Consider the following 23,814-nt stretch of genomic DNA (forward strand, 5'->3'; position numbering starts at 1 on the left):
CCTCATATTTTTGCCTTAAAGAGTGGTGTTTCAGTGTGTCTCTTGTATTTAGTTTGTGATGGTCCCTCAGTACTTACTGTTTTGTGTGTGTGTGTGTGTGTGTGCTTCTAATTTGTGTTGTTTCTCTGCTGAAGGTAAGCTGGGTCTTCTCTTTCCTCCCTGCTTCTTTCCTTTCTCTCCTTTTCTTTTTCTTTTTCTTTTTTTTTTTTTTTTTTTCTTTTTGAGACGCAGTTTCACTCTGTTGCCCAGGCTGGAGTGCAGTGGTACAGTCTCGGCTCACTGCAACCTCTGCCTCCCAGGTTCAAGCAACTCTCCTGCCTCAGCCTCCTGAGTAGCTGGGATTATGGGCACCCACCACCACACCCAGCTAATTTTTGTATTTTTAGTAGAGACATGTTTTCACCATTTTGGCCAGGCTGGTCTCGAACTCCTGACCTCAAGTGATCCACCCACCTTGGCCTCCCAATGTGCTGGGATTATAGGCATGAGCCACCGCACCCAGCCTCTCCTTTTCTTTTTCTTTTGTTTCCTTTTTTCTCCAAGAAGTTCAAAGTGATTGATGGGCTTCTAGGTAGAGGTGGGGAGGAAGGAAGGGAAGGAAAGGGTAGAAAGTTGTTCTAGTTCCCACTTGAATTCCTCAAGAACTCCCACCCTTGGACAAAGTAGACATGACCAAATGTTTCCACATTTGATTTTGTCCTAGGGCACATAGTGGTGAATGTGAGAAGTAGAAGGGACAGGGGATGGGAAACAAGGAGAGTGGGGCAGTCTTTAAGGCCTTCCTTGTACCCAAATGTCCCCAGACCTCAAACAAAGGTCACTCTATAATAGAAGTGTTGTTGTTGTTTTTTAATGGAGTCATGCTCTGCTGCCCAGGCCCGAGTGCAGTGGCTATTTGCAGGTGCAGTTATAGTGCACTGCAGCCTCAAACTCATGGCCTTAACCGATCCTCCTCCCTTAGCCTCCTGAGTAGCTAGGATTACAGGTGTGCACCACCCCACCTGGCCTGGGCCAGTGTTCCAGTCCCTGCCATTGGTAGCCCAAGTGAGCATTAAGTGGTACTTGGTACCAGATTGTATTAATTTGCTAGGGCTGCCATAACAGTGTACTACAGACTGGGTGGCTTACACAAGGAACATTTATTTTATCACAGTTCTGGAGGCTAGAAGTTCAAGATCAAGGTCTTGGCAGAGTTGATTTCTTGTGAGGCCTGTCTCCTTGGCTTGTAAATGGCATCTCCCTGCTGTATCTTCACATGGTCTTCCCTCCATGTGTGTCTGTGTCCTAACCTCCTCTTCTTACAAGGATATCAGTCATATTGGACTAGACTCCTTCAAATGATCTCATTTTCATGTAGTCACCTATTTAAAGGCCCTGTCTCCAAATACTATCATAGTCTGAAGTGCTAGAGATTAGACTCCAATGTTTGAATTTTAGTGGGATGCAGTTCAGCCAAAACTTAGATCATTTGCAGCCCAATAAATAAACCTGACTGATAGCTCTTTATTTCACTGGCCAGGAATTCCAGGGTATAGAAATATGGTAATTCAATTGATCCCGGGGGCCTTGAGGTGGGAACTCAGTATTGATGGACACAGTTGTTCATTTTGGAGAGGTTGAACCCTGTTATTTGCTTTCAGATAAGCATTGGGTCTCAGTCCTGGCAGCACAATAAAATCTCCTGGGGAGACTAAAAAAATATCTATGGACATTCAGGCTGCACCCCAAGACTTCTGATGTAATTGGCCCTGGGAGAGCCAGTCACTGATCTCTTTTTGAAAGCTCCCCAGGCAATTCTAATATGCAGCTAGAGTTGAGGACACCTCTGGAGTTCAGAGGGGAGGGTGACCTTCTGCCCATGCATCAGGTCATCCAAGGGCACAGAGTGTGGCTGGGTGTCCCCTTCACCCCCTACCCTAGGGCTCATCACCAGGGAGACCAGGACTGTATTTCCCCAGCATATCAGCACCTCGCAACACAGACACCTGTGCATGCACAGCCATGCAAACACACGCATGCACACACCCTTCCCTCTGCATTTCATGATGCCTCAGTCACATCATCCTTTTTATTCAAGATTTATCTTTACTTTAAAAAAATTTATGGAGTGAAAAGCCAGCTCGTAACTAAAGAAAAACAAACCAAATGTCCGAAGGAGTTGTCTAGAGGCCACAGAAGAAGAGAGATGAATAGCCAGTGTCTGAATCTGCTCATCTGTTTCCATGGAAAGTGACTACATCTGAAAAGTTTTCTGCCGGCTCTTTTTATGGCAGAGAAGAGTCTCGGCCCACAAGTGGTCCCTGTTATTGATGGCTTTGGTCTCCCAGGTGCTTTATTGGAAAGGGGAGCCTAGCAGCAGTTTCAGGGAAGAAACAGAAAGGAAGAGGGTAAAAGTTAATTGAACTCAGTTTTATCTGATTTCATCCTCGTAGCAACTCTGTGAGATCAGGACCAGTCTCATTTGCAGATGAGAACTCAGCCTCAGAGAGGGTAACAAAGTTGCCCAAGACCACCCAGCTAGGGAGCAGAGCTGAGGCAGGCTCCAGCACCAGGGCTGGCCAGAGTACAGGGATGGGGCCAGGCTGGGGACTTCGCCTGCAAGGGTGTTGGGGGTAGGGAGGAGCAAGGCCAGAAAAAAAAAGTACCACAATTTGCCTAACCTTTCTTGAAAGTTCATGGGGTCATTGCTGCCATTTTGGTTACCTTCTGAATAGACTGACCTTTTCCTACCCTCCCATCAGCATCATTTCATCACAGTCCTTCCAAAGTGGGTGCACTCACAAAGTGGTCCAGTGGGGTAGGAAAAACATGTCAGAACTTCTGTTCTTGCCTATTGGTTTTCCATCTTAATAAAAAAAGGAGTTAAGTTTTGCTTATAATTAACATATAAATTGACAGAACAACATGTAATTTATAAATAAGTGTGCATATATTGGAGATGTGTTCTCAAAATGTTTCTGTTCATAATGTTTTTTATAATTGTTTCTGCCAGTAATAATAATTATTTTTTAAAACTTTTATTTTAGGTTTGGGGGTGCATGGGAAGGTTTGTTGCGTAGATGAGTTCATGAGTTAAAAAAATTTGGAGGTCACTGATCTTCACAGCCATCCTGTTGGCTTAATATCTTTAAAATTCTTAGTGAGGCACCACTTTGAGGGTAATGTACTATGAGAGAACAATTGCTCCCTCGTTACCCACCCCTATTGCCTGACTTGCGTACTGCTCTCCCCAGCTCCACAGCTGCTAATAAAATTTAGAAGCAGGATTTGAACCCAGTACCTATTGGGTTTTAAATATCCATACTGATGGCCGGGCACTGTGGCTCACGCCTGTAATCCCAACACTTTGGGAGGCCGAGGCAGGTGAATCATTTGAGGTCAGGAGTTTGAGACCAGCCTGGCCAAAATGGTGAAACCCCATCTGTACTAAAAATACAAAAATTAGCTGGGCATAGTGGCATGCTCCTGTAATCCCAGCTACTCGGGAGACTGAGGCAGGAGAATCACTTGAACCCAGGAGGTGAAGGTTGCAGTGAGCCGAAATCGTGCTTCTGCACTTCAGCCTGGGTGACAGAGCGAGTTCCTGTAAAAACAAAAACAAACAAAAAACAAAAACAAACAAACAAACAAAAAAACATACTGTCACTGAAGCTGAGCAATGGACCAAGAAGGTGGGAGCGGGGGTGGGGGCTGGGGGGAGGTCTGAAGTTTTATGATACTTTGTCACTATTTTAATGAGGCTGGTATATTTGTATCCTTCTGTAAGGAAATGGTTTCTCATAATAACATAAATCCTAAATCCTACAGTCATGAAGATTTTAGTACTGGAAAAAGAATCTTGGGTTGGAAAGGCAGCTGACCAAGTGATTCTGGTGTCTTCTGAGTTTCCCCTTGCCCCTTGGGGTATCTCGTTCTGCCACCCCTTTAGTTGGCTCCCATGTGTGCACCACCGGCTCAGCAGAGGCAGTAACTTCTTTACTTGGTTTCCCTCAGTATGAGTAAAAAAGTTGGTGAGTTAAAAATACTTTTAGGGTTTTAAAAAATTTTTACAGCCTGGCCCATAGGGTGAAACCTGTCTCTACTTAAAATACAAAAATTAGCCAGGCATGGTGGTGGGCGCCTGTAATCCCAGCCACTCGGGAGGCTGAGGCAGGAGAATTGCTTGAGCCTGGGAAGCGGAGGTTGCAGTGAGCCAAGATCATGCCACCACACTCCAGCCTGGGCAATAGAGCGAGACCCTGTCTCAAGAAAAAAGAAAAAAAATTATCTTTTACTTTTGAGATAGGGTCTTGCTCTGTCACCCAGGCTGGAATACAGTGGTGCAATCACGGCTCACTGCAGCCTCAACCTCTGGGGCTCAAGCCATCCTCCCACCTCAGCACTCCCTAGTAGTTGGGACTATAGTCACATGCCAGCAGGCCTAGCTAATTTTTTTTGGCATTTTTTTTTTGTAGAGACAGGGTCTCACTATGTTGCCCAGGCTGGTCTCAAACTCCTGGACTCAAGAGAGCCACCCGCCCTGGCCTCCCAAAGTGCTGGGATTACAGGAGTGAGCCACTGTGCCTGGCCCTAAAAATAATTTATTAAGCACATAAAGCACTCTATGCCAGACACTGTTCAAAGAACTTCATGTTAACTCATTTAATCCTCCCAGTTGTAGCTATAAAGGAGATGCTAGTATAAAAAGTTCAAGAAACTGAGGCAAAGAGCAATTTAGTAACTTTTGGGGATTTGAATCCAGGTAGCCTTTCTAATACCAAGGGAATAAAACAAAATAAATTACATGCAGTTTAAAGCAGTGGCACTTCTGTCATGTTTATCTCTTCATTTCCTAGAGCCAAATCTTTCCCAGGACTTACATAAGTAATGTCCATTCCTTGTCCTGTTTAAAGATAGTACCATCTAGCCTCAAAGAACTGATTATAGAATTGGGTCTGTAATTTGTTTCTGGAAATTGGTGTTCTGAAACTATTTCCCCAACAAAACACCTAGAAATGCTGAATAAAATATAAGAAAAATCTTTTAATGTATAAATGAGTGGTGAGGAAACAAAAATGAAGAGAGAATAGAGAACTAGGGATGATAGCTGGTGCTAACCCTATGGCTACGTTGGAGTTGCTTGATGGTCTTGACAACGAAGATTTAACAGGTGCCTGAGCGCAGGCGATAAGGAGTGAGACCACTGTATAGTGAGGAATTAGAATAAAGACCTCTATATAAAGCCAGGACTTTGAAAACCTAAGCCTTCATTAAAAGGTGGATGTAAAACAAATCAGCCTTCTTGTAAAGAAAGATGACAAGGAAACTTGTCATAGCCTAGGTTCAGGATTGGAGAAAAAAATAATGTCTCTTGAGATGGTGTAATCAAAATTCTGCCTTTTGGAGAGTCTGGGTTTTGAATTCATATTACCTTTACTGGGAAACCCAAGTTGAGAAACTAATAAAGTTGTCCCATGATACCTGGCAAAAACAAACACACAGATACTGCCTTCATGGGAATATCATCAATATAGGCCCATCTATAGATTCCTATAGCTAAAATGCTGCTGATTATGATCACACAATTCAAAATTACATTATATGAGCAGTAGTCAGCAGCAATGACACGGTTCTTAAGTAATAAAAGAGAGAATCTAGGTCTGGGCATGGTGGCTCATGCCTGTAATCCCAGCACTTTGGGAGGCCGACGTGGGTGGATCACCTGAGGTCAGGAGTTCAAGACCAGCCTGGCCAACATGGCGAAGCCCTGTCTCTACTAAAAAATACAAAAATTAGCTGGGTGTGGTGGCGGGTGCCTGTAATCCCAGCTAGTTGGAAGGCTGCGACATGAGAATCACTGGAACCTGGGAGGTGGAGGTTGCAGTGAGCTGAGACTGTGCCACTGCACTCCAGCCTGGGCAACAGAGCAAGACCCTGTCTCAAAAAAAAAAAAAAAAAAAGAGGGAATCTAAAAAGAAATTTAAGAAGGAATCTAAAACATGAGAAAGGAACAAAAGGCTATCGAGAAAAAACAGGTGTATTTGTAAAAGAATCAAAGATATCTACTAACATGAAAAATATATTCATTGACATGAAAAGCCTGATGGGTAGGTTGAAGAGCAGATTAGGTATAGCTGAAGAGAGAAACAGTGAGGTGGAAAAAAAAGCTGGAGAAATTATCCGGAATGAAGCAAAACAGGTAAACATATGGAAAACATGGAAGAAAAGTCATAAGACATGGAGGATGGAATGATGGTTGAATATACATCTGATCAGTATTCCAGAAAAAGAAAGTAGGGAAAAGGAGAGAGAGGCAACACTCAAAGTGATGGTGTCCTAGGATTAATTTTTAAGGATTGATGAAAGATTCAGAGTTAAGCATTCCAAGGAAGATAAATAAAATAAATTTATACCTGAATGTGTCATACTGAAACTGTAAAATACTAAAGACAAAGTGACAGTCTTAAAAGCAATCAGATAGTAAAGGAAATGTTATCTATAAAGTCTTTGCTACAAAAACAGTGGGAGCCATAGACAGCGAAATAATATTTTCCAGGTTCTGAGAAACAAACAAACAAAAAACAACCATCAGTCCTGAATTATATACCCAGCTTAACTGCTTTTCAAGAGTGTGTGAAGGAAAGACAAATTTACCGCTAATGAATCTTTACTAAAAGAACTATTAAAGGGGTCAGGTGCAGTGGCTCACATCTGTAATCCCAGCACTTTGGAAGGCCGAGGCAGATCACTTGAGGTCAGGAGTTCGGGACCAGCCTGGCCAACTTGGTGAAACCATGTCTGTACTAAAAATACAAAAATTAGCTGGGCATGGTGGTGCACATCTGTAATCCCAGCTACTCACGAGGCTGAGGCAGGAGAATCGCTTGAACATGGGAGGTGGAAGTTGCAGTGAGCCAAGATCATGCCACTGCACTCCAGCCTGGGCAGCAGAGTGAGACTCTGTCTCAAAAAAAAAAAAAAAAAAAAAAAAAATGGTGGACAAAGAAATGGTACAACTTTGAATGCACTTTATCCACATTCCTTGCTCTGTCTTCCTGCTGAGGGAGTATAATCTTTTTGTATTGAGAGGGATGTTCTGTAATATATTTCACTCTTTTGATAGCAAAAGTCATGAGACACTTTCTTGACCCACTTGAGCTCTTCCAAGGACTATAACTTCCACCCTGAGATACTCAAGGCTCCTCCACAGGTGAGCCTCAGTTTCATGGTGACCACACACTAGAAATTCTGTAGGGAAGAATGGGAAACAGTCTAAAGCCTCTCAGGTACCAGATGCTGTGCTAGATATGGTACAACCTACTCCAAAAAATCATTCCTTCCCTGGGGAAGCTTGCTTCTTAGTGGGTTCATGGACACACACATTACAGAGGAGTTTGAGGGATGAGCAATCGATTTGGCAGGTCACATTCTCCAAAAACTAGTAAGCAAACCACAGAGCTTGGAACTGAGTGTTTGGAAGTATGTTCACAGACCTACTAGATGACTCTGGCTATGCATAGATTTTACATTTCCTTACATGAATTTCTCATCCTTATGTTCTCTCCGACACCTGTATCATTTGCTCACTCAAGCCTCTGGAAATGAATTTCTCCTGCACTAACAAGTTAGAGAATGAAATGATGCTTGGATGAAGTGATGCTTAGGGTTCGTTTCAATCTGAGAGCCAAGTTTTCCACACGCAGAAAACCAGGCAACATTAAAATTCAAAACTCAGGCCACGGAGTCTGAAATGTATGTTTGTGAACAGTCTGATTTCATGTCTGCCTCTGATGCCCTGTGAATACAAATCACCTCATCTGGGGCTGGAGGAGCAGAGAGGAAGAAACCTAAGAATGATCTCCAAAACAAATCTTTAATTCGGATGAGTATAATAGAGTGTAATCCCATTTCAAGTCTGTCAGCATTCCTTTGATGATTACAAATGAGTCCCTTTTCCCCTGCAATGTGGGGGAATAATCTGGATAAAATAATCCTTTTTGTCTGCAAAGGCCCATGCGATGCGTACTCGTGACAGCTTTCAGAGTAGTGTTTCAGAGTCTGAGAGAAGAGCACACTGTCCTACCAAGTTATCTCCTTTCTTTCTCTTGACTTAGAAGATTTTTCACTCTTTTCATGTTCAGTGGCTTCCGAAATTCTCAGGCTTAGAAATCATAAATCATCGTACTGTACTGAGGAACAAGAGAAACCCAGGTCACCAGCTCCTTTTCCCTCCCTGCCTGCTCAACAGGAGATGACAGGTGGAAATGGGAATGTATGATCTTATCTAGAAGTCCAATTTGTACAGCTTTGGAGGGATATACTTGAAGAAATTCACATAATTTTACAGTCTCTTTTTCATTAAAAAAAATGTACACTGAACCCAAGTTCAGGCTTACATGCCTCCCTTTGTCAATTTCCTTGTAAAATTAAGGGATTGTCATTTTAAACACTTCATTCTATTATCTGAAACCTGAATGCCAGAACGCTCCTTCCAAAGCTAATGATGCAAAATGTTTTGTGGACAGGCCACCCTGGACACAAAGACTCAGAATGAAAAGAGGTCTTGAGAACCCCAGTGCTGTGGTCCCGCTCTGTGGAACTGGTCACGGCAGGCTGTGGAGAACCACACAGAGCAGATCTTGTGGTCTTGCTTGTTCCACTTTCAAGTGCAAAGGTCCCTCTCATCTGATTTCCGTATTTTTTTTATTTTAAGTTAGAATGTCCCAAGATGATGATGATGACGTGATGATGATGATGATTGATGATGATTTCTCATAGAGTCTCATTCTGTTACCCAGGCTGGAGTGCACTGGCATGATTGTGACTCACTGCAGCCTCAACCTCCTGGGCTCAACAGCTCCTCCTGCCTCAGCCTCCCAGGTAGCTGGGACTACACACCCCGCTAATTTTTAAAAGTATTTTGTAGGGTGGGTGCAGTGGCTCACACCTGTAATCCCAGCACTGTGGGAGGCTGAGGTGGGCAGATCACCTGAGGTCAGGAGTTTGAGATCAGCCTGGCAAACATGGTGAAATCCCATCTCTACTAAAAACAAACAAACAAACAAACAACAACAACAAAAATTAGTTGGGTGTGGTGGCATGCCCCTGTAAATCCCAGCTACTCAGGAGGCTGAGGTAGGAGAATCGCTTGAACCCAGGAGGCGGAGGTTATAGTGAGCCGAGATCACGCCACTGCACCGCAGCCTGGGAGACAGAGTAAGACTCCATCTCAAAAAAAAAAAAAAAAAAAAAGAGTATTTTGTAGAGACAGGGTCTTGCTAGATTGCCCAGGCTGGTCTCAAACTCCTAGCCTTGAGCGATTCTCCTGTCTCAGCCTCCCAAAGTGCTGGGATTACAGATAGGAGCCACTGTGCCTGGCCCAGGATTATTTTTTATTAGTGTTAGAGCTCTCAAAAACCATAAACTAAGGCTTTGAGGCAAAAGGTCTTTTCTTGTCTCAGATTTCTGTGTCTCTCCCTGGCTATTCAAGTCAAGGCAGGTTATTTGGGTTTGTCAACATTTGCCAAAAATGCTATATGCTCTTTACAGGGGACGGCGATCTTTACCCAGTGAACATTTTGCTTTTCCTGATATTTAGTTGAAACCAGTGATTCTCAGTCCAAGAGTGATTTTGTCCCTTGGGAATATCTGGCAATCTCTGGAGGCAATTTTCTTTGTCACAGCCTCTTAGTGAGTAGAAGCCAGGGACACCGCTAAACATCTGACACTGTCCAGGACAGCGCCCCCACAGCAAAGAATCATGCAGTCCTTGTGCTAAGGTTGAGGAACCCTGGGCTAGACCAGCAGATTTGTCCTTGTTTTATTTTCCACACTTTTAGAACCTGAAAAAAGTGAACACTTTTTTTTTTTAAATCAGAGTTGAGTCTGGAGTCCCTAGACAGCTCTGAAAGACTCTCTTCTCCAAATCTAGCTTGCCTTCTGCAGCCCGAAGGAGGTCTTCAGTTCCATAAAGCCAAAGAAATGAAAATCCACTGGCTGCTGTGCTTCTCCACCCTCTCTAGCCCAGTGGGGTTTTAGTCAGAATTTTTCCCCCTTCCTTTCCTCCAAGGACCTTGTCTATGTGTTTGGCCCTTTTGCCTTCATCTCAAGCTAGACTCTTGGCCATCATTAACGTCAAAGTGAAATATTGCTCTGGAGAGGTGTTCAGACTTGAAGTCACTTGCTCACTTGACGTGCGAGGATGTGTTTGCAACACATCTCAATTATTTCAAAATCTCAGTGAAATGGTTGCATGATGGGGGGTGGATAATTTGATTTGAACATGAAAAAGGAAGGAGAAAGTCACGAAGATAGTGCAGAGATTTTTTTTTTTTGGCATCTCCCACTGCCTCCCCGACTTTCCTCCTTCCCTGTGTTCCTGCTCTCATTCCCCCTACCTCTCTCTCTCCAACCCCTGCCACCCCACCAGCCTCCATGCACTCACATACAGACAGCTTGGGTGTTACTTTGTGAACAGTGCATTCAGCAGTCTGTGCTGCTGTTATACACTTATCAAGATACGCTGGAGTTTGTGTGGTCATGGGGCTAAGCATCGTTTTACAGCCCACATCGAGAAGGAGGAGTCGACGGACTCCTCTGAAATGGTAACTACCATCCCTGCCCAGAGGCCTCAAGACTGCAGAGCAGCTTCCACTTTCTGAGCATGCCTCCCTCCATCACCCCTTCAGACAAGTCACAACTCTACTTAAAATATTTTTTTCCTTCTGCCAAACACAGGGAAAATATAGTATTGTTTCCAAGAGAGCGAGCAGGGGCACCAGCAGGAATGGGTGTGCAGTATTTGTACAGTTTTGTGACTCAGTCCATCTGAATTTCCAAGCATTTTAAGAGCTTTGTCCCAAAAAAAGGTCTATTGTGTGGCTCTTGGCACTGAAGAAAATAGCAGGCCTGTCAGAACTCTGTTTCAGATTTAATTTTCAAGTGGGTGATGTACGAATGCTGTCCAACGGGAGGGCATTTTCTCATTCCTGCTCACTTTGGTGCCATAGAACTTCAGTTTTCAGAATCAGCTCAGATTAAAAAACTGAAGCATCTTTTCCCTGGACACCCTTTTAATAAAAAGGCACCATGTTCTTAAGCAAGGATTACTGTGGCTCTTAAATGAATATGGCTTCCTGCAATAAAAGTAAAAACATTTGACGATGTATATAATACATTTGTTTTTTCAGAGCATCTTCTTGCAAGACTTTACTATTCTTTGTTTCTATATAGTTTGGAAACGCAGGCCTAAAGACATTATTGATCTTCTCAAATGCCTCTTGAATGGAGTATTTACCGCTGGGTATAGACAGTGTTAAAAATAGGCAGAGGCCGGGCGTGGTGGCTCATGCTTGTAATCCCAGCACTTTGGGAGGCTGAGGCGGAAAGATCACGAGGTCAAGAGGTTGAGATCATCCTGGCCAATGTGGTAAAACCCCATCTCTACTAAAAATACAAAAATTAGCTGGGCGTGGTGGCACATGCCTGTAGTCCCAGTTACTCGGGAGGCTGAGGCAGGAGAATCGCTTGAACCTGGGAGGCGGAGGTTGCAGTGAGCCGATATCGTGCCACTGCACTCCAGCCTGGTGACAGAGCAAGTCTCCATCTCAGGGGAAAAAAAAAAATAGGCAGAGGCCAGGCACAGTGGCTCATACCTATAATCTCAGCACTGTGGGAGGCCAAGGTGGGAGGATGACTTGAAGGCAGGAGTTTGAGACAAGCCTGGGCAACATAGCAGGACTCCATCTCTATTAAAAAAAAAAAAAAAAAAAAAAGAAAGGCAGGAAAAACTTGTTTTTGAAGTTTCTCTTTTCCTAGTTGTTTTCTTCCCTGGACCTTAAACAGTGGACAGTGACTTTTCTCATTACATGTATACTTTATGTAGAGTGCACAGTTTGTCCTCCATGTCCCTTGTCTTCTCTTGTTGATAAAGATTGTGTACTATATATTTTTAAAAAAGAACTGAAGCATCGTATCTGACCCCTGGATCCCTCTGAACTGTGAATAGATGATAAACTTCTGGGCTCAGAAATTTTCCCATAATGTTGCCAAGCATTAGTCCAGCGTGGAGGCGACTTTCTGCTCAAACCACTCATTTGGGTCCCGCGCCCAACGTCACCCATCCTCAGCAAAACAACCTTTATTTCCTTCTTCCTGGTTTCCAGAAAGTTCCCTTAAAGCCCTGAGGAATCACCGAATGAAAGGGGCTTTTTACAAACAGGAAGCTTAAGTGGAGTGCCAGTACACAACATGGATTGCACCAGGCTGGGTCTAAGATAAAACCAGACTGTGGACAACGGGACAGATAAGGCCCACATGGCTCTGCACTGCCTGGGTCTGTTACTGTGTGGAGGAATGTCTTAGTCTGTTGCTCCTGTGGGTGTAGCTAAAACACGAACCAGGAGCCTTCATCCTTAGAAAGGAGTCAGACAGACACCTGAGAACCAATCCCAAACTGCACCCTTCCCCTGAACCTCGTGGAACCTTCTGGAATGCAACTTATTACTGCCAGAGGGTCTTTGATGAGAGTCTACTCTCCACTATTTGTCTTCATTACCCACATATTCTCTTTCCGTGGAAAGGTAAGTTATTAGAGTTTATGCAGTCTGGTATATTAACTGAGAGCTTTACTTTAAAGAATGTCATGTTTACGATTCAGTCTCACAGACTGGGTTAAAAAGGCAGTGTTGACTATTAAGTTGTAAATTACTATAATGATCATTATTATTATTCAAGCAAGCTGTGAGGAATGAGCATTATCTCACAATATCTGCATTTTAGTGAACCTGAGGGAAGAGTGTATTTGCTGGAATTACAGAAGCCTGAGAACCACAGGGGAATTCTCACTGCAGGGCATTCAGGGTCCAAGGCTGATTCTATTTTGCATGCTCAATCCTTCCTCAATTTATTTTTATTTATTTATTTATTTATTTTTTGAGACAGGGTCTCGCTCTGTCGCCCAGAGCGAGATTGTCGCCTTGGTGCAATCTCAGCTCACGGCAACCTCGCCTCCCGGGTTTAAGTGATTCTCCTTCACTTAACCTTCACTTAACCCAGCCTCCCAAGTAGCTGGGATTTCAGGCACCCACCACAAAGCACAGCTAATTTTTGTATTTTTAGTATAGACGGGATTTCACCATGTTGGCTAGGCAGGTCTTGAACTCCTGACCTCAGGTAATCCTCCTGCCTCGGCCTCCCAAAGTGCTGGGATTTCAGGCGTGAGCCACCGTGCCTGGCCCTCAATTTTATTTTTCTATTTATTTATTTAGAGATGGATTTTTGCTCTTGTCCCCCAGGCTGGAGTGCAGTGGTGTGATCTCGGCTCACTGCTACTTCTGCCTCCAGGATTCAAGTGATTCTCCTGCCTCAGCCTCCTGAGTAGCTGGGATTATAGTCACGCACCCCTACACCCAGCTAATTTTTGTATTTTTAGTAGAGACAGGGTTTCACCATGTTGGCCAGGCAGGTCTCAAACTCCTGACCTCAGGTAATTCACCTGCCTCGGCCTCCCAAAATGCTGAGATTACAGGTATGAGTCACTACACCTGGCCCCTCAATTTAATTTTAATAAAATTATCAGGGAAATAAGCCACAAAAGGACAATGTGCAGACTTTAGAACAGAGCTGTCCAATAGAAATATAATGTAATCCACATGTGTAATATTAAATAATTTAGTCACCACATTAGAAAAAGTAAAAGGGGTGAAATGAATTCTCCTAGTAAATTTATTTAACCAATATATTCAAAATATTATTATTTCAACATTAATGAATACTTAAAAATTCTTAATGAGATATTTTATGTTCTCTTTTTTTTGCTTATGAAGGCTTGGAAATCTAGTGTATATTTTACACTAACAGCATATCTCCATTGAGATGGCCACATCTCAAGTGCCCAGTAGCCATGTGTGGCCTGAGGCCACGACTCTGGGCAGTACAGCTTTAGGTGAGACTAGGGCAGGGCAGAGGGGGGCACCTGGGATCAGGCGTGGAGCTTGGGGCCTTGTTTAGCACCCTTTGGTGAGGGCACTTTCTTTCCATAAAACCCAGGTCAAGCATGCCTCACAAAGGGGCCAGTGGAGGTGCCTCAGTTTACATGGGAGCTTGGCCTCTCCAGCTTGCCTTCTTACTGCCTGGAAGAAGACTGGTGCCCTCTCGCCTTCTCTAGCCCCTTTCCCAAGAACCCTCCCAGAATTTAGTCCTGTGAAGGGCCAGGGGTGCAAGGAGTCACCCACATAATGACAGGACCCGCCAGCAATACCAGAAGTTGGCCAGCCCTACTCATCCAAATTCCTTTCTGCAGCTGGACATCACAAGGGTTTCAGACTGCCATCCTGTGGCAACTCCATTTTGGGGTCCGGGGATGTAAGGGTTATTGTATTAGTCCATTCTCACTCTGCTAATAAAGACATACCTGAGACTGGGTAATTTGTAAAGAAAAAGAGGTTTAATGGACTCACAGATCCACGTGACTGGGGAGGCCTCATGATTATAGCAGAAGGTGTAGGAGGAGCAAAGTCACATCTTACATGGCAGCAGGCAAGAGAGCTTGTGCAGGGGAGCTCCCCTTTATAAAACCATTAGATCAGGCAGGGCACAGTGGCTCACACCTCTAATCACAGCACTTTGGGAAGCCAAGGCGGGTGGATCACCTGAGATCAGGAGTTTGAGACTAGCCTGGCCAACATGTTGAAACCCCATCTCTAATAAAAATACAAAAATTAGCCAGGCGTGATGGCTCATGCCTGTTGTCCCAGATTCTCGGGAGGCTGAGGCACGAAAATTGCTTAAACCGAGGAGGCGGAGGTTGCAGTGAGCTGAGATCACACCACTGCACTCCAGCCTCGGCAACAGAGTGAGACTTGGTCTCAAAAAAAAAAATTAGATCTTGTGAGACTTATTCAACGTCATGAGAACAGCAGGGGAAAGACCCACCCCATGATTCAGTTACCTCCCACTAGGTCCCTCCCACAACATGTGGTGATTATGGGAACTACAATTAGAGATTTGGGTGGGGACACAGCCACACCATATCAGTTACTGAGCTGGGCATCTTCTTTCTTGAATGCACATTGGCCTCTGAGGCACTTCCTGGTTAACCTCATTCCACAGCTGAGAAAACCCAGGCTTGGCACAGGCAAGGGATCTGACCCAACGTCTCCCATCTTATTAGTGGAAGGACCAAGACTGGACCCACAACTATGCTCCTGTTTTGAGTCACCATGCTGCCCTCAAGATCAGATCTCAAAACAAGCAGACATGGGGGGCTCAGAAAGTCCCCAGCCTAGAACTTTCCTGTCACCCAACGACACTAAGGGCTAAGCTGGCTGCTTATTATTCTGGATTCACACTAGAATGACCTTGGGGTGTGTTTCACACATGCCAATGTCTGCAGTTTCACCCCCAGCTAACTGACTATGGATCTCTGGGTTGGGGCCTGGGCACTGATATTCATGCAGAGCTTCTGAGATGATCCTATTACATCGCCAAGGTTGACACCTGCAGAAACATTGCACGCTTTTTCATTTATTTAGTTATTAAATATGTAATATTTATTATTATTTTTCCAGACACAGAAGCGTTGCAAGAATAGTACAAAGACATCCTTTATACCCTTCACTGAGATTCCCCAGTGCTACCATTTTACCCCATTTGCTTTATTATTTTCTAAGTGGCAGATAAGTTATCCTTTACCCCTAAATATTCCTGTGTATTCCTTAATAACAAGGACTTTCTCTTATATAACCAGGCAATGATCAAAATCAGGAAACTAACCCTGCTACAATACGGTTTTCTAATGTATGGACCTCATTCAGATTTTGCCAGTTAACCCAATAGTGTACATTGGAGCAAAAGATAATCCCAGATCATGAATTATTTTCAGTTGTTGTGTCTCTGTAGGTCCCTTTTAGCCTGGAACAGCTCCTCAGTTTTTCTTTATCTTTCATGGTATTGGTATTCTTGAAGAACGCAAGATGGTTATTTGATGGAATGTCCCTTACTTTGGATTTGGCTGATGTTTCTTGGTGGTGACATTCTTATGCATTTGGGGTGGGACTGTCACAGCAATGGTATCATGTTCTTCTCTGTGCATCACATCAGGAGGGACATGCTGATGGTTTACCCCATTACACCAAAGTGAATGTTGATCATTCAGTGAAGGTGGGCGCAGGTTCATTGCTTTATATTGCAGAAGCCGTCATCAGCCATACTTGCTCTGATTAACTGATCATCTTCCGTAGCCATTTATCTAACAAGGCTGTAAGGGTCTTGAACTCAGGGTAAGCAAGCCTTAAAGCAGAACAGAAGAAAGAAAGGAAGGCTCTGGAACCTGGAGCTTTGGCAAAGGGGGCAGGTCCAGGGAACGCACCACCAAAGTTGCTCCTGGCATTAGGATGAAGAGGAAGGAGAGCATTCTGTCTAGAAGGGGTTTGGGGTTAGCGAGAGGGGCATGGGAGAGTCAGAGTCTGCCCACTTGTGGTTTTGCTGAGGGCTACACTGTGGTAGGCAGGTCTTTCGTTGCTGCTCTTGAAAATGTTGTTCCGTAATCCTTCATCTAAAACAGAGCAATTCCCTTTTTCTCAGTTTTGGCCCCCTTGGCAGGTGCTTCATCTGTCTTCTGTTCTCTTATTTTTAGAGACAGGGTCTTGCTCTGTTGCCCAGGCTGGAGTGCAGTGATGTGATCATAGGTCACTGCAGCCTTGACCTCCTGGGCTCAAGCGATCCTCCTGCCTTAGCCTCCTGAGTAGCTGGGACTACAGGTGTGCACCACTGCATGTGGCTGATTTATTTTATTTATTTTAGTTTTCTGTAGAGACGAGGTCTCACTTTGTTGCCCAGGCTGATCTTGAACTCTTGGCTTCAAGGGATCCTCCCGCCTCGGCATCCCAAAGTGTTGAGATGACAGGCATGAGCCACCACGCCCACCTCTGTCTTTTCTCTTGGGATTAATGACTTCCACATTAGCTCCAGGAATAATTTCTGTTAAGGTGATGCCTGGCTTGACACTTCTGGTAACTCCTGCTGTTTATCTATTGCTTATCTCCAGAACCCATGTGATGCTTCCCACTTCAAAGTGCACTAACGCCAGTCAGCTTGAAGGCATCCCCTGAGCTGCTGGCAAACAAGGCCTTTTTACCCACAGATTAACCTCTTATTTGTTTTAATAAATGATCAAAACTTGGTTTGCCTCCTGTGCGTATGTTGGTTGGGGCCGAGACAGGGTGGTGGTGATTTCTGTTCACCTGGGATCTCAGGCCTCCTGGTGTTCCCTGAACAAAAGTGAGGCAGGCAGAGCAATGAGCAGTGTTCCCCGTCTGCCTCGCTGCCATCAGTATTTCTACCTGTGGTTGTCTCTGGCGCGTTATCAGGATGTGTCACTCCCTCGTCTTTGTTCCCTCTCCTTATATTTACCTTCACCTGGGCTGCTAAGTGCTGCGGGAGAAACATCGCGTTGTTGTGGAGATTGTGGCCACAACAAATTTAGGTTCCCCACCCTCAGGTTGTCCCTCACTGGTCTCTTCCTCATACCTTTGAAGAAAACAACTCGTGGAGGTCGTCATATTCATAAAGGTGAACATTTCACAGAGCAGGGCACTGTTGTGGGTTGAATTGCATTCCCTCTCCCACAAAAGACTTCTTGGAGTCCTGACCCCCAGCACCTCAAAATGTGGCATATTTGGAGATAGTCATTACAACGGTAGTCAAGTTAAAATGAGGTTGATAGAGTGGGCTTTATCCAGTATAATGGGTGTCCTTATGGAAAGGGGAAATTGGCCAGGTGCAGTGGCTCATGCCTGCAATCCTAGCACTTTGGGAGGCTGAGGCGGGAGGATCACTTGAGGCCAAGGTTCAAGACCAACCTGGCCAACATAGCAAGACCCCCATCTCTGTTAAAAAATAATAAAATAGGCCAGGCGCAGTGGCTTACACCTGAAATCTTAGCAGTTTGGGAGGCCGAGGTGGGTGGATCATTTGAGGTCAGGAGTTCAAGACCAGCCTGGCCAACATGGTGAAAACTGTCTCTACTAAAAATACAAAAAAATTAGCTGGGCATAGTGGCGGGCACCTGTAATCCCAGCTACTTGGGAGGCTGAGGCAGGATAATTGCTTGAACCCGGGAGGCGGAAGTGGCAGTGAGCCAAGATCGCACCACTGCACTCCAGCCTGGGTGACAGAGCAGGATTCTGTCTCAAAATAAATAAATAGGCCGGGCGTGGTGGCTCATGCCTGTAATCCCAGCACTTTGGGAGGCCGAGATGGGCGGATCACGAGGTCAGGAGATCAAGACCATCCTGGCTAACATGGTGAAACCCCGTCTCTACTAAAAATACAAAAAATTAGCCGGGCATGGTGGTGGGCACCTGTAGTCCCAGCTACTCGGGAGGCTGAGGCAGGAGAATGGCATGAACCCGGGAGGAGGAGCTTGCAGTGAGCCGAGATAGCGCCACTGCACTCCAGCCTGGGCGACAGAGCGAGACTCCGTCTCAAAAAATAAATAAATAAATAAATAAATAAATAAATAAATAAAATTTTATATATATATAGATATAGATATGGAAAGGGGAAATTTTGGACACAGATGCACACAGGGAGAAGGCCACATGAAGATTGGACTTATGCTGCCACAAGCTAAGGAGCTGGAGGAAGCTGGGAGGGAGATCCTTCCCTAGCATCCTCAGATGGAGCGTGGCCCTGACAATGCCTTCATCTCAGCCTTCTGGCCTGCAGGTGTGAGACGATGCATTTCTGTAGTTCTAAGCCACCCAGCTTGTGGTACCTTGTTATAGCAGCCCGAGGCATTTAATACAGCAGCATTCTGAGCCCTTCCCATATAAACTCTTCATTTAATCTTCACCACAACCTCCCTGCCCATAAGTGCTGTTGTTATTGTCTTCATTTTATCTTCGTTTTATCCATGATGTCTGCAGCACAGACAGGTTCAGTAATTTGCTCATGGTCACTTGAGATAATAAAACCCCACTCTAGGGAACCTCTCATGCCTGCTTCTGGCTATCACCTTTGCTCTCCCCTTTCCTCCTGTCCCCTTCCTCTCCATCTCCTTTATGAGGCCTTCTTTGTTGTCCCATCTCTTTTTTTGTATTTTTACATTTTATTAATTTTTTTTGTGGGGGGGAAATGGGGTCTCGCTATGTTGTGCAGGCTGATCTTGAACTCCTGGCCTCGAGCTACCCTCCTGTCTCAGCCTCCTGAGTAGCTGGGATTACAAGTGTGAGCCACCATACCCAGCTGTTGTCCCATCTCCTAAATGTCTGCCTTCCCCAGCATCCCTGCCCCACAGTTCCTGCCTCAGTAGCCCCTCCTGAGCCTCAGCCACCACCTGTGCTGATGAATTGCTGCTCGCCCTCCTCCCAGGCAGGATGCCCCATGGCCACTGCAGGCTCAGCCCATCCACAACAGATTCACAATGCCTGTCCTTCAGGGCTGGATTTCCTAGATTTCCCAGCCAACGGTACCACTGGCTGAAAACCCTGCAGCCATGCCTAAATCCTCTATATGCCCACGACCAACCCCTGCTGATTTTATGGCTAAATCCCTGTCTTTACAGTCAGGACCAGCTGCAGAATTTGCAAGGCCCAGTGCAAGATGAAAACATGGGCCCCCTTATTCAAAAATCAGAGGAAAAGCACTGCTGAAGTACTAACATATAAAGCATTTTCTTTCTTCTGTGGTCTCTGTGTCTCAATTTATCATGATACTGTCATTTGTTATTTAATGTCCTTCTAAGTAAAGAAAAATTCACATTTTAAATTACTAGCATGGATTATACTGTTCCTCTTTACATTGTGCAATGCCAGATTTAAATAGGAACATTGGACTCAAATGTGGAATCACAGAAATGACATAATTTGTACTTTGCATGTGGGTTTTTTTTGCCTCACAGAAACAGTGAGACGTTGCAGGAAACTAATTCAGCTGTTTTTTGTTTGTTTGTTTGTTTGTTTTTGTTTTTTCGCCTGAGACGGAGTCTTGCTCTCTTGCCCAGGCTGGAGTGCAGTGGTGAGATCTCGGCTCACTGCAACCTCTGCCTCCTGGGTTCAAGCCATTCTCCTGCTTTAGCCTCCTGAGTAGCTGGGATTACAGGAGCCCGTCACCACACCCGCCTAATTTTTGTATTTTTAATAGAGACGGGGTTTCGCCATGTTGGCCAGGCTGTTCTCGAACTCCTCACCTTGTGATCCACCCGCCTCGGCCTCCCAAAATGCTGGGATTACAGACATGAGCCACCACACCTGGCCATTCAATTGTTTTTGTTTCACTTTTTCACACCTATACAATCAACCACCACTCTCTACCTTTGGCTTACTGATGTGTAAGGAAGAATTGAAAGGAAAAATAACTATGACTCTGCTATCTTTGCTTCTCCTATGTCATCATTTCCAGTGGAAGTGGTTGGCTACTACAGGGAATCAGATGAGTAGAAAAGGCTGGGAGAGAGTTCCTTGTTTGTTCCTGTTTCTTAGAATGCCATTGACTTGGTTTTCAATTCTGATTCTATAATAAGGGAAAGTGCAACCTCTTGGTGCTGTCAGCATCTCTCGCAGACTCCGTTGTGGACATAGTAGGCTTCCCTTATGCCCACTTGGAGCCTTGCTGGGCTCCCATGCACTGCGGACCCCCCAAGATTCTATGCTCAGGGCACGGCAGACACGCCATGGGGAGTGTGGTGGTAACTCATATTGTTGCTGGTGTCTCGTCTGCCCACGCACATGTTCTATTGCCCTGTTGGATTTTACTGATAAAACATAGATTCAGGCTGGGTGCAGTGGCTCATGCCTGTAATCCCAGCATTTTGGGAGGCCAAGGTGGGCAGATCACTTGAGGTCACGAGTTCAAGACCAGCCTAGCCCATATGGTGAAACCCACTCTCTACTAAAAATATAAAAATTAGCCGGGCGTGGTGGCGGGTGGCTGTAGTCCCAGCTACTTGGGAGGCTGAGGCAGGAGAATCACTTGAGCCTGGGAGGTGGAGGTCGCAGTGAGCCGAGATGGCACCACTGCACTCCAGCCTGGGCGACAGAGCGAGACTCTTTCTCAAAACAAAACAAAACAAAACAAACATAGATTCAAACATAAAATGAGGAGGAATTTTAAGACAGTAACAGCAGAGCATTAAGCCAAGCTCCGGGTCCCTCTCAGCATGGGGCCCTGTGTGACTGCACAGGCCAAACACCCATGAGTTCATCTCAATTTCCATCCCTCTCACACCCTTCCCCACTGCTGTGGTCTCAGTTGGCACCTTCCTCATTTCTCCCCCGGAGGACTGCCTGTACCCTGATTTCTTCAAGGGTCTCTCCAGTCCATCAGACACAGGCCAACCCAGGGTTTTTCTGCACTGCAATCCAACCAGCATCACTCCCCTGCTTACCAGCCTGCAGTAGCTCCCGCATCCCTTCAGGTTAAGATTCAGACTTCTTAGCAAGGCACTGCTTATTTCTCCAGCCTCTGTGACAGCCTCAAACCCTGCAATCGAGCTCTGCTGATCCTGGAGAAGCTCCCTCTGAGCCTTTGCACACCTGTCCCTGCTACTTGAGGGTGATTTCCACCTGGTTACCTGCTGGCATCACCTCCCACCTGGAAGCCTTCCTCATCTCTGGGGTGGGTCAGATGTAGCCGTTTTTGCCCTCTCCCTACACACCCTGCGTTTCCTCTCTCCCAGTGTTCATCTCGTGACGTACAATAAGCAATTGACTAACTTGTCCTTAAGGCCAGGGCCATAGTGGGTCTTCTTGGTGACGAATGAGGGAGGAGCGAGCGCTTTTGCTCTCTAATGGCATCTGTGGATCACTAGCTGGAGGCCTTGGGACTCTAAGAGCCAAGCTATCCAAGTGCTACAAATAACACCGCACGGCCCCCGGTCTTTCCTGTTTCCGCTCTGCGTCTATCAAGGAGGAGCAGCTGTTTTTTGAAGCCCTGCTTTCCTTCTCACAGCTTTGCTCACCCCCACCCTGCTTGATCTCCAAACTCAGAGCCTTGACTTTCCTATAAATACAGTTTCTCTCCAACTCAACTTGATGCATTCATGCAGGGTCCTAGTTCTCTCTTTCTGCCATTCCAATTCTCCTCTTTCCATTACATTTAAGAGAACCCTGGCTGGGCATGGTGGCTTACACCTGTAATCCCAGCACTTTGGGAGGCCAAGGCGGGTGGATCACCTGAGGTCAGGAGTTTGAGACCAGCCTGGCCAATATGGCAAAACCCCATCTCTACTAAAAATACAAAAATTAGCTGGGTGTGGTGGCACATACCTGTAGTCCCAGCTACTCGGGAGGCTGAGGCAGGAGAATCACTTGAACCCGAGAGGCAGAGGTTGCAATCATGCCACTGCACTCCAGCCTGGGTGACAGAGTGAGACTCTGTCTCAAAAAAAAAAAAAAAAAAAAAACCAAAACGACCAAGAAAAGGGCATTCATTTATGGTATAAGAGCTGAAAGCAAAAGGCAGAGGTTCCTCGATGGAGCTCTGCTGGGACCATGTGTAGTAGCAGCCATTCAACCTCTTCACCACCCAGCGCACATCCAGGAAAGCCCCACTGGTATTGATTTAGGGGTTATAAATAAACATTATCAAGTAGGTGAATTTGCAGCTACAGAATCTGCAGGTAATGAGGATTGATTGTAGATGCACCAATGAACTGGAGGTCAGATTTTCAACTGAACCGTCCAGGAGATGGCCAGCAACCAAGAGCTAGAAAAAAGGATTCCTGGAGGGTGGTGAAGAAAACAGAAGTCTTAGAGGCTCAGAGACAGATGAATGTAATCCCTCAGCTGTCACCTGAGCTGTGACTATAAAATGAGGCAACAGATTAAGAATAGTAAGCATAAGATTGAAGCCAGGCTCGGTGGCTCATGCCTGTAATCCCAGCACTTTGGGAGGCCAAGGCGGGCAGATCACTTGAAGTCGGGAGTTAGAGACCAGCCTGGCCAACATGGTGAAACTCCGTCTCTACCTAAAATACAAAAAAAAATTAGCCAGGCGTGGTGGCCCATGCCTGTAATCCCAGCTACTCGGGAGGCCAAGGCAGGAGAATCACTTGAACCCAGGAAGTGGGGGTTGCAGTGAGCTGAGATCTTGCCACAGCACTCCAGCCTGGGCAACAGAGCAAGACTACATCTCAAAAAAAAAGATTGGGGCAATCAGAAGCGACCACCGTCAGCAAAGGAAGGATGAAGGGGAGTGAATAAAGGGTCCACAGGACAATTAAGAAAGTGTGGGCCCTTGGGGCCATTTGGTGAAGCGGAGCCAGGTCACTGGCGAGTGTGCCAGGGAATCAATTAAGGATGAATATGAAGCTGGAGGCCAGGCCAGCATGATTACCGTGTGGACGCCCGTATTTCTTTACATTTGCTGACTGTCAACCCGGCCTCCTGTGTTTCTGTGAAATACAAAGGAAGAAATGCTGTGACCTTCCCTCATTCTAAGGTGAAACCAAAGAAGGGGAAACTGAGAGACCTATCTGAAATCCTCCACCGAGCCAATGGGGAGGCTGGAATAGATACAGCTGGTCACCCGACCTGTTCTTTAGGCACGGCTTTTTGGATTTGCCATTTACATCTGCTTCAAGTTTTAGAAACTTCCAGGCTGTGGCTTTTTTGCTGCTTTGGGGGAACAAAGCATGTTTGGTCAAGTGTACAGTAAACCTGTCCTGCTCCTAAATCCAGTCATCTTCAAAATAGATTTTTGAGGTTTATAGTGCTACTCTCCAAATGTCATTATCATCCCTAAAGTGAAAAAAAAAGGTTTAATTATTATGAGCAGTGAAATTACCATATAATCTTCCAATTAACTGAATAAGGCACCAAATAAGTGCCCTCA

The 23,814-nt window shown here is 45.4% G+C and overlaps 1 protein-coding gene across 17 annotated transcripts in view; it reads left to right on the top strand.

Annotated features, from left to right (window-relative positions):
• Window positions 1-23,814, top strand: part of EVA1C (eva-1 homolog C) — a 103,665-nt gene that overhangs the window by 4,402 nt on the left and 75,449 nt on the right. Inside the window, exon 1 of one of the 17 annotated variants that reach the window (XM_011529669.4) lies at window positions 3,699-12,560. The exons of the other annotated variants lie outside the window; for them this stretch is intronic. The gene's annotated coding sequence lies outside the window, so the exon portion shown is untranslated. Of the gene's footprint in view, window positions 1-3,698; window positions 12,561-23,814 lie in introns of those variants that run through there. 17 annotated transcript variants of the gene reach the window in all.

This window comes from Homo sapiens, chromosome 21 (genome assembly GCF_000001405.40).
Source record: "Homo sapiens chromosome 21, GRCh38.p14 Primary Assembly".
Taxonomy (NCBI): Eukaryota; Metazoa; Chordata; class Mammalia; order Primates; family Hominidae; genus Homo; species Homo sapiens.